Source organism: Homo sapiens, chromosome 18 (genome assembly GCF_000001405.40).
Source record: "Homo sapiens chromosome 18, GRCh38.p14 Primary Assembly".
Classification (NCBI taxonomy): domain Eukaryota; kingdom Metazoa; phylum Chordata; class Mammalia; order Primates; family Hominidae; genus Homo; species Homo sapiens.
Genome location: NC_000018.10, coordinates 36762014 through 36773841, shown reverse-complemented (window position 1 = coordinate 36773841; position 11828 = coordinate 36762014). Strand labels below are relative to the sequence as shown.

The 11828-nt window shown below is 41.6% G+C and overlaps 1 protein-coding gene across 45 annotated transcripts in view, besides 1 other annotated feature; it reads right to left on the bottom strand.

Moving 5' to 3' along the window:
• Positions 1-11828, bottom strand: part of FHOD3 (formin homology 2 domain containing 3) — a 482508-nt gene that overhangs the window by 6379 nt on the left and 464301 nt on the right. For all 45 annotated transcript variants that reach the window (XM_011526189.2, XM_011526190.3, XM_017026008.2 and 42 more), the window contains one exon: positions 4416-4577. In XM_011526189.2, coding sequence (XP_011524491.1) covers positions 4416-4577 — 162 coding nt within the window. The remainder of the gene's footprint in view (positions 1-4415; positions 4578-11828) is intronic.
• Positions 4007-4152: a silencer, noted in NCBI's record as "fragment chr18:34349653-34349798 (GRCh37/hg19 assembly coordinates)". NCBI's record gives its function as "represses an EF-1alpha promoter that drives an FKBP-Casp9 reporter gene in an ReSE screen in HepG2 liver carcinoma cells {active_cell/tissue: HepG2}" and the evidence as "EXISTENCE:reporter gene assay evidence [ECO:0000049][PMID:32094911]".

Here is an 11828-nt window from a genome sequence, read left to right as displayed (position 1 = left end):
AGTGGTGAAGATCTGTCTGGGCTACTAATTGTAGCAGGCCAGAGTGAAGTGGACAGTGTGGTGGGGAGTGAGGTGGGTGAAAAGAGCAGACAGTTGGGTCGGGATGTGCACAGCAGACCCTAAGCACCTTCAGGCAGCAACGAATTCCCATCAGCAACTTGTCCCTTGGGCAGCAGTGAGACACAGCCTGGAAGGGAAGAAAGGTGGCGGGAACCTGTCATAGATGCCTCGCTTAACCCCACAACCGTCCCAGGAAGCTGGCACTACTGCCTTCATCGTACAAAAGATAACTGATACACGGTAAGGGCCAAGTCACTCGTGAGACCCAGGCCCCATCCCTGCTGTGGGCATGTGTGCATTCCTGAGCATGGAAATGGATTCCATTTGAACTTGGCAGCAAAAATGATGAAAGACGGAAACATCCTTCGGTCAGGTGCATGGCACCTCCCTGAGTACCACCATGGGAACCCTATGCCTCCCCTCAAAAAGGCTCTCAGAGGTAGGAAAGACAGGTTCTTGGATTCGTCTTTTTACTGCTCCTTCATCCTTTTGAACCTGGCACTCAGGCGGACACTGTGGGGGGGACTTACAGACAAGCCTCCTCTTTAATGTGTCAGTTCCCCCTGTTTGGGAGGGTGATTTGTCTAAAAGTGAAACCACCAGAGAGCCATGTAATGCATCTTGCTTCTTGCATCTGCCTCTCTAACCCCGAGGCTTCCACCTGAGTCCCGACTTTCTGACTTAGCATATCAGTGTCCTGGCCTCCAGCCTGGCCCTGCTCTGGAGAGAGGGATGCCCTCTAAAAGGCAGTGACTGTCCACCTGGGTTTAGGGAAGAGACCTCAGTTCTCTCTTGGACTTGTTCTGTTTATCCTCTTGTCCTGTGTCTTGTGCTCATGCATAGGTACCCTCCGCTGTCTTTACAGGAGGGGCCAGTCCATCTTTAATCAGCTCTAGAAATTAGTAGGTGCTACTGGAGATCCTTGGATAGAATCTGGGGCAGGGTGGGCACCCGAAGTAAGCTGGATCAGCCATTTCACAGGCTAGAGATCACCTGGACGATTTGAGACATTTTACTCAATGTGCCCCTGATTGGCACCAGCTGGGAGAGCAGCCGACCTGAGCCATGGGAACCTGTGAATCTATTACGAGGCCCTTGGCTATCCCAGCTGACTGCAAAGTTCAGGCTTCAGTGGGACGTTCGGCATGTGTGGGCTCAGTCACCAGCATCAAACATGAAAGCAGACATTTAATTATCTCTGATCCTCGAGTGGCTTGCCTTGCAGGCCATAAATTTCAAGGTTATGGGATGGATTCTGTTTTGTTTCCTGCAAGAGCAGAACTATTATTGTCTTTAGCCAAATGAGTTATGGCCCAAATATGTTGGTTATTCATTATCCACTTGCCTCATTGCCATCATTAAACAAATCAAATACAGCACTGTTTCAGCATGAGGCCCAAACCACTAAACTTCACATTGATTTTGCAAATTGCTTTTTGTTGTTCCTTTAACCTCTGTGAAAAGCTGGAGTTTATCATCCCTTTATAACAGAAATCAAAGTCTAACTTCTCCCTTCTTAAATTTCTGTTGATAGTGCCATTACTAATAAATTAAGCCCATTACAGATAAACACATACATGCTGTGCTGTACTTGTTATAGTAACTGTGTCACAGGAAAAATGTGTTTGGCTAAATAAAAAGAATATATGACTGTTTTGCATAAAATTGAAATGAAAACGATACCATAGGAAATTATTTTATGTCAACAACAAAAACAGGCAAAACATCTCTCTGGCCAGATTGAAGAGGAAAATTAATTATGACCGCGTTATTGTGCCCAGTGACATTATGAGTCTAAGAATTTGGATCTCTGTAGACCAGAGGATGGGGCCATGAAGACTTGGAGGAGAAGAACATGCTCTGGGCCTCCAAGGACCAGCCAGTCCAATGTCCCATGCTGTCTCCTGTCTGAGGTCCCTGACCCAAACCTTCCAACCCTCTGTCAGGGTGCCATGCACCTGACAAATGGGACGTCTCTGTCTTCACAGCCTTGGTCCAACCTTCTCCCTTGGCCCACCTCTCCATGGCTCTTCCCAGCTCCTCCCCATGGTGAGCCCTGCGATGAGGTTGCCCACACCAGAAAGACCAGGAGTTAACTGGTGCGCAGGTTCCTGCCATGTGGTGACCTTGAAGTAGCTATTGGCCTCCTTGAATGAACTAACAGGAAGCCAATAAAGGGCAACTACTGAAGATAAACTACTTAAGACCTCAAAAAATCTTTTGGAAGTTTCATTTCAAAAGCTATTTAAGCAGATTTCCTATCACAAAAAAATGAGCCAATGATATAGACAAACCATACACAAAAGGAGAGATGCAAATGGCAATAGGCTCAGCCTCCTCAGAGTGAAGGGAAATGCAAATTAAAACCACAGGAAATGTTATTTCACAGCCTGCAGATAGGCAAAAATGGAAGCGTTGCCTTGGCCTAGAGCAACTGAGATGCAGCCTGGAGTGTGAGTGTGGATTAGCCTCGCCCCTTCGGAGAAGAGTTTCCACTCCTGGTCTCATGCCCCGGTGCTGTCCATCTTATTATGAACATGAATCACCTGGGGATCTCATTAAATGCAGATTTGAATCAGTTGCCCTAGAAAGGGGGCCCATAAATCTGCAATTCCAACAAGCCTCCAGGAGACACACGTATTGTCTGAGGTTCAACTTTGAGTTGCGAGCCCCTAGCCAAGTTCTTTCACAAGTGCACCAGGAGACAGCAAAGAATTCATAGTAGCAGTGAGAATATAGGAAAATATCAGAAGAAAGAAATGTAAAGGCCTTAGATATTGATGTTGGAATCTACAAACATATTCTTGAAGATGTACAAGCCAGTCTCCCTGAACGATAGTTTTCCATTTAAAAAATGAAATAAACGTAGTGGAGAGCAGAGGAAGGCATACAATAAAGAGAGAGCCCACACCTAATGCCACTAATCCAAGGGGCAGGGACCCACACCTCAAGGCCTCACCCCTGAGGTTCTGAAGTAGTGTGTGTGGGTGCAGCCCAGATATCAGGAATTTAAACATCTCTGCAGAACATTCTAATGTGTATCCAGGGTTGAGAACCACAGCTCAAGAGCCTTGTTACTCACAGTGTGTACCAAGGGCCAGAAGCATTAACCTCATCTAGGAGCTTGTCAGAAACAGATTCTCAGTCCACCCATCTTACTGAATGAGAATCCCATTCCCTGCTCCTCATCCCATCCCTATCTGCACCCCCACCCCAACCTCAAGTGTTATTTTCCTTTCTGGGGAAAAATTCTCATCAGAAACGAAAGCAGATCATAGGAAAGGAGCAGGGGACCACAGGAATGTGGGTTAGTGTTCTGTATCCTGGAAACGTGTGTAAATGGGTCAAGCAGAACCACTGGGTCCAACATACACAGGCCACACCCTGGTCACCTCCTGTGTGAATCTCAAGGGTGGAACAAGTTTGGGGCTCTCTGAATTTGAGTACTTACTCAACTCCCTGCCTAGCTGGACTCATGCTCCTTTCACTTTTGGGAGAAAACAGGAGGAAGCCACTGGCTTCTTTCCTTGTCACTAACCCTTATTCTCAGAGGCAAAGCCAGTGGAGACTAAAGCAGCCTCTAGAGTGACCCAGCGGCTGGCTGAGTGCTCTTCTGAAACACTCAAGGCCACAGCTCATGCAGGGAGATGTCAAAGGATCTACAGGAACCTGTTTCCCTATGGAGCACTGTCCCTGAGAGGGGCAGACAGAGGCAACCCCACACCCATGAGTTGGGTGGGCAGGAGCAGGCAGTAGGTTCAGACCAAAAAGGAAAATCAGTCACTTTGATTTAGTTGAATCCTCTATTTGGTGGGAAAAGGAAAAAATGGTCAACCTAGGCCACGTTAAATATTTCAAGCATCCCAATGACCATCAAATCCCTTGCTACCCTAGTTTTTGCCTTCAACATGCTTGTGGGCAGCGATGAACCCAGGAGAGGCCAGTCTCCAGCCCCACAAGCGCCCCCTGGTGCTGGGTGCAGGGCAGAAACACAGCCTCCAGCAGAGCATCTTAGGCTGGACTTGACGATGGGCTCCACTAGCCCATCGTGCTCACCCCTGGTACACCACAGACACTTAAGGACTTTTCATACCTTCCTGGGAAGAAAGTATGAATTGAGAGAGGCCTAGCCACCAATGGCAGATACACTGAACAGGTGTGGCTGCAGCTCCCCTCCTCCACAATGGCCAACGTCAACAGCCAACCCTGAAACTTTCTGTGGATGAGTGCAAGTAGGCACTCTGGGAGCCACTGACAATTCACTGGAGCTGTGTCTCCACCTTTCCCAGTTCACGTAGAATGGGAGGGCAGATCCCTGTAGGGGTGAAGGCTCGCCCCTCCTTTAATGCACTCACAAGATTTCCGGTTGGCCCGGGATCGTTTCCTCTCCCTCGGCACCACTCGCTGACTGGGCACTTGGGTGGCTGACTTGACGATGCGGTCCATGATCTCATCAGCTGCATCATCTGTGACATTGGGCGAGTCATCAGTTCCCATAGTCCAGGAACTAGTGGATCCTAAAAATTAAACAGCCAGAGTGCACAACATACTCAGAAGGAAAACACAAAAGATATATGCAGCAGTATTCCTCCAAGCAGTTGAGTTCTTTCAGCAACAGATCACAGGGAAGGCCAGAGTTAAAGCCCCAGAGCTAGTGATAGATCCAGAGGGCTAACCTGTCCCCACTGCAGGGAGCACCACCATAACTCGTGACTGCTACCCTGCAGGCTCTGAGCAAACCCATACGCGGGGCACTTATTTCATATCACCCTGTAACACAGCTGTGTATCTTGTCTCTCATTATTATTTAACTCTCCAACCCAGGTGTGTTGTCTTTACCTGCCAGGTCCTGTGATCACCTGAGGGCAGATGACCCAAGCCACACCCTGCTACACAGCCATCAATATCCGGTGATGCACATCTAGTAATGTAGAGACTCACTGAGGGTCTTACTGGGTCAGCTCTCTATCAGTGGTTGTATGTGCCTAGTCTGTCAGCTGACCCTAACTTCTCGCTAAGTAGAAAGAAATAGATTTTATAATACACAGTTTATCTTTGAATTATCTAGCCTTTAAAAATTGTAACAGGATTGCCCTCTTTAACCAGCAAAGGGGTTGGTAACTTAAATTTTTCTCTGGTACATAAATCTGCTCCCTCAACATTTTCTGTAGTTTATAAATAACTACATATTAAAACAAGTCAGAAGAAAGCATCACCAAAACATGGGTCCCAAGTACAGTCATCCCTCAGTATACAGAGGGATTTGTTCCAGTACTCCCAAGTATATCCAAATCTGTGCATAATCAAGTTCCACAATCAACTCTGCAGAACTTGGGTTTACAGCCCTCTATATACATGGGCTTCGCATCCTGCAAATACTTTATTTTTGATCTGTATTGTTGGAAAAAATCTGCATGTAGGTAGATGTGCTCCATCAAATCCAAGTTGTTCAAAGGTCAACTGCAGTGTTAAACAGTTAGAAATTAATGCTAATGTAATATATCCAGAACTACATCTTTGTAATTGATCAGCTTTCTTGTGAAATCTCTTCTATACGATAGTGAATATACGTTGCTACAAGAGGAAAGATGTACAATATGCTCAAAATTGTTAATTTCTACCATCTACACTTCATTTTATAGTAGATGCACAACAACTTCAAAAACCTGTAGGTGAGAATTATCAGAATCATTGCCTATGGCACACAAGTAGCCCCAGCCTGACTAAAGTACAACACAAGGGAACTGCCAGCCTTTCCCAACTTGGAGGAAAAAAATGTTAATAAATAGTTAAAATGTTTGAGTTCTCCCACACTAATTTTTTTTTTAAGTTTTGGTGCTTACAACCACCTGGCTGGTAATGAATGAACCAAGAAAAAATAGATATCAATGGAAATGGTTGGGAACAGTGGATCACAGTTCAATGGACTGTGATTTTCATATATATGTGTGTGTGTGTGTGTAGTTGACATATTGCTGCAAATACACACTGTGCTATAAAGTAGTCATAATTTCTGATAGTAAAATTCATGACTGAATTAAATACATAAATATTTCACACTTTGCAAAAGGAGAGCCAGGACACCAGGTGCCCTGTCACCTGCATGTACATAAAACCTGTGGCTATAGAACAATGATGTTTTCCAATGGTAAGATTTTTGTTGGCTGGGTGCAGTGGCTCACGTCTGTAATCCCAGCACTTTGGGAGGCTGAGGCGGGCAGATCGCTTGAGGTCAGGAGTTCGAGAACAGCCTGGCCAACACAGTGAAACCCCATCTCTACTAAAAATACAAAAATTAGTCAAGCATGGTGGTGTGCATCTATAGTCCCAGCTACTCAGGAGGCTGAGGCAGGAGAATCTCTTGAACCCGGGAGACAGAGGTTGCAGTGAGCTGAGATCACGCCACTATGCTCCAGCCTGGGCAACAAAGTGAGACTCTGATTTCCGTTATTACTGATACAGTTTTTTTTTTTGGTTTTGCTTAGCTTTTATTTTTTAAATGATAGCATACCTACAGCATGAGCACATGCAAAAACAGTAGATTGTACTTTTTGTGCTTATACCCAAAGGAACTTGATCTACTTGCTATTAGGCCAGTTTTTTTCAGCATTATAAATCCTTTAAAAAATAGACTCTTTTAAAAAATAAACTGTTGAAATTGCTGCTGAAAGTCTCTGCATTCTCAGAATGGTCACGGTATTTTAATTGGAAATAAAAGTCCTTATAATGCCACAGCTTTTAGACTGGGCCTCTGCAGATCCTCTGAACAATGGTCCTCCTCAGAGTAGAGCAATCAATCATGCAATTGTGTTTTACCCCGCAATTTCCTGTTTTCCCTTTTATCTATTGATTTATAATTTTGTCTTATCTTAAAATGCCGAAATACCTTCTAAAAACATGCAAAGCTCAATAAATTGTCTTTGCTCATAATACATTTGCAGAGCACTGGGCCAGAAATGAAGGCATCATCTAATCTTCCCTCTGAGAATTACCTATACTTTTCCATCTTACACAATCCCAGGGATCTTCTGTCAATGTAATGTGTCAGGAGATGCTTAAAGGAAACATCTTGCCCTAGGTCCAAGATTGTCAACTCAGTTTTATGATGACTTCATTCTCTCACGACTTCATTCCTGGTTCTACTTTATGTCCGCTCCTCTTGGTTATATCCTCACTGCCTGATTACCATTTATTTCCATTCTTCCTAGTCATGTATACATTCCTCTTCCTGGAACCCTTGCACCCACACTGTAGCCATCAGGGTAATACTGCACACACATTTTACATACCCAAGGGACCATGTAGTAGTAAGTGTTAGCAAGACATTTGAGATGTGGTGGAGAGGATAAAGCAATCTAGACCATAATAGCACAATACCACTTTACTTTTATTTTTCTAAAACATGAAAACTGAGATTTGAAAGAAAGCACTGAAATTTGTTTTTCCCCTTATAGAAATCTAACCTAAAGAAAGAGTCTACAAGGAAAACACTTAAGTCAAAATGGATATTCTACTGTTTTAATGTAAAAAGTTTGCTTTCATTTCTGAAAGACGATTTCTCTGAAGATAGACTTCTGTGGTTGAAGTTTTTTGTTCTGGCAGTTTAAAGATATCATTCCTTTTTTTTCTGGCTTCTACAGTTCCTTTTGAAAATTGAGCCATCATTATTATCATTGCACCATAGGAGGCAATGTATCTTTCTTCTCTGTTTTAAAGATTTTATCTTTATTTATTTATTTATTTATTTTAGCACTTTGTCTATGGTATGGTTCTCTTTGTACTTACTCTTCTTGGATTTCCTAAGTTTCTTAAATATGTTGGTTGATATTTATCTGTTTTGGTAAATTCTCAGCCATCTCTTCAAATCTCTTCAATCTCTTCAAATATTGCTTCTGGTCCATCTTTTTCCAGTACTCCAATTACACATGTTAGACCATTCAACTGTGTCCCTCAGATCTTATATTTTATTCTATTCTTTCCATTTTTTCTCACTATGCTTCTGTTTATACATTTTCTATTAACCTGCCTTTGAATTCACTAATCCTCTTTTGCTGTGATCAGTCTCTGCTAAGCCCATCCAATGAGTTTATTTCAGATATTTTGTTTTGTAGTTCTGGAATATCCATTTGATTCTTATTTATAGAGTCTAATTTGCTATTGAAATTATCTACCTTTTTACCCACTTGTCTATGTTTCCTTTTAGTTTTTATTTTAACATTTATAATGGTCATTTCAAGTCCTTGACTGTAGATTTCAACATCTGAATCACTTATGGGTCTGCTGCTATTATCTATTTTTCTTCTTGATTTTCAGTCATATTTTCATGTTATTCCTGTGGCTTGTAATTTTTATTACACTGGACTTTGTGTATAGAAGAACGTAGAGACTGAAGTCAGCATTATTTTCCTCCAGAGAGTCTTTTCTCTGCTATTAACAGATACAGTGAGGTATTGAGCTGGGTTTAGGCCAGACAGCAGCTTTAATTAACAATCAGTCCACTTCCCACCTCTCTTTTTCTTGAGGCCAAGATCAGTAAGTATCTGTTCAAGGTGCTTACTCTAGCCTATCTTTGTCTCCTCAGTTTAAAGACTGCAGGACATCTCCTTCAACATTTCTAGCACAGCATCACCCGCTGACCTTCCTCCCTCCAACCCCCATCCCGCAGTGCTCCATTTAGCAAATGTCTCATGGAGAAAATCATCTGCATTTTAGCCTCCTCTCAATTTCAATCTCTTGTACCAGTTCATACAGCTACTACAAATTCTGCTGGCTTCTCTTTCCCATTAGAGTCACTCCACTACCATAAGCCCAATCCTCAGCTTGTGCCCAGATTTGGCAAATGCTCACAGAGAGGCAATGTCAGCTCACCTCCAATTCTAGTTTGTCTAGTCCTCTTTCCTTTTACAGTTCTCTAATGTTTTTTCAAAGAAGGCTTTATTATTTTTACTTCTAGTTGTTGTAGCAGGTGGGTGGCTTGCCACTCCATAACACATGCTGCATGAAAGCAGAAGTCTCCCTTGAGATTGGCATTAATGTGCAGAGAAACTGAACAGCCTCCCATTCTAATCCCTTTCATACGCCAGCAAAGATGACCCCATGTTGTACAAACCCACCAACATCTTTTCTCGCTATCCTTTCTGGTCAGGAATAGATGTTTCTTTTCCTTTAAAATTGGTACAACCTATTTATGTTCTATTACTGAGATCCACCCCCTAAGAAGGCTTCAACTGCACTCCTCCTGCATCCACCAAGACACAGGGGCTCAAGACTCTGGTCTGATGGCTGGGGTCACCATGGTGCAGGCATTAATGTTCACCTTCACATCCCTGTTGGCCATGTTTAGCCTAGCATACAAAGCCTGCAAGAGCTGCTGGGCAAAGACAAGCTCATACATGGGATGTCTTAGGCCTTTTTGGGTGCCACAAGGTAAAAGTGATACCCCTTGCCATGTCCCCCAACACTGCAAAACGATTTCTCATCCTTGTTTTATGCTGGCTCTACACTGACAGTCTCTATTGTTCACCATTTAATGAGACTGTTTTCTTCACTTTCTGGCCTTCCCCACCTTCTTCTCTCCTCTTCTTTCTTGTTTACACACACTCTCTCTCCAATCACTTCCTGGAATGGAGGTCTTTTACAGACAGCACTGGTCAAGAAGAGGGTACCTTTCCTTCCATATAGCAAACCAGACAATCAGAATGTATCCCACATAAAATCAGGGTTTTGGTTCTCCTCAGCTGTGTCTGTCTGCTCTTGGTCACTAAAAGGCTACCTTTTCATTGCCAAAGCATAATATTATTTTCTTCTCCCAATTCCACATCCAAAACTATCTATGGAAATTACAGTTTTGGAAAGAGGTTTGGAAAGACCCGATCTCAGAGAGACTAATTATCTTTAATTCTTTGATGTAATAATAACATATGCAAATACTTAGGGTGTCTGGGGATCAAGGCTGTAGTAAAAGATATGATTTTTCCACCCTGTCATCTGTGCCTCAGTTGGTGTAACACTGGGGCAGGGAGGGAGGAAGCCCTTCTTCAAGCATATTTTCAGCTGTGCATCAAAGTAGAATCCATACATATATATATACACACAGAAATATATAATACATATATATTATATATAACGTGTATAATACACATATATTATATATAACGTGTATAATACACATATTATATATAACGTGTATAATACACATATTATATATAACGTGTATAATACACATATTATATATAACGTGTATAATACACATATTATATATAACGTGTATAATACACATATTATATATAACGTGTATAATACAATATTATATATAACGTGTATAATACGCATATTATATATAACGTGTATAATACGCATATTATATATAACGTGTATAATACGCATATTGTATATAACGTGTATAATACGCATATTGTATATAACGTGTATAATACGCATATTGTATATAACGTGTATAATACGCATATTGTATATAACGTGTATAATACGCATATTGTATATAACGTGTATAATACGCATATTGTATATAACGTGTATAATACGCATATTGTATATAACGTATAGTACACATATATAACGTATATAATACACATATATAGCGTATATAATACACATATATATAACGTGTATAATACACATATATAACGTGTATAATACACATATTATATATAACGTGTATAATACGCATATTATATATAACGTGTATAATACGCATATTATATATAACGTGTATAATACGCATATTATATATAAAGTGTATAATACGCATATATAACGTATATAATACGCATATATAACGTATATAATACGCATATATAACGTATATAATACACATATTATATATAATGTATATAATACACATATATAACGTGTATAATACACATATTATATAAAATTTAACATATTATATATTATGTATATAATATATATGATTATATATTTATAATATATATAAAATATATAATACATATATATATATATTTTGAGACAGAGTCTTGCTTCTTCGCCCAGGCTTGAGTGCAATGGCGCCATCTTGGCTCACTGCAACCTCCACCTCCAAGGTTCAAGCAATTCTCCTGCCTCAGCCTCCCCAGTAGCTAGGATTACAGGCATGTGACACCACACCCAGCTAATTTTGTAATTTTAGTAGAGACAGGGTTTCACCCGGTTGGCCAGACTGGTCTTGAACTCCTGACCTCAAGTGATCCACCGACCTCGGCCTCCCAAAGTGCTGGGATTACAGGCGTGAGCCACCGTGCCCGGCTGATGCCCTATATTAAAAGGTAAACACCAAAGTCCAACATTAAGACAGAAGAAAAGAGAACTAGAGTTAGTAACACTGTAGTCACATGAAGTGAGAAAACCAGTCAGTAATTTAGTAAAAAAGACTGAAGTGCCAATCTGCTTGGGAATCCCACAAAAGCCCTAGGGTTCTGGAGCACAGCCTGCAGGTCCCTTTGAGGTCCTCCTTGGACAGCAGTTTGTGGCTCTTTGGTTCATAGGAAACTACAATCAGCCACATGCGTGGTGTGGTAATGACTCACCTTCTTCTCAAGAAAACTCAAAGCTGCATTTATTTTTTCCATTATGTTGAATTTATCATTACTACCGTTATTTTTGTATATTTAAGAATGTTGACAACAGCAAGATTCCAAAAAGCACTAGTTAGTGAGCAAAGCCTATTAGAAGTCACTGAAGAGCCTCCTCAGGTTTCTCCAGACTGCAGCCCTCCAGATTCTAGCTGCCTTTCTGCCTGCATGTTCATT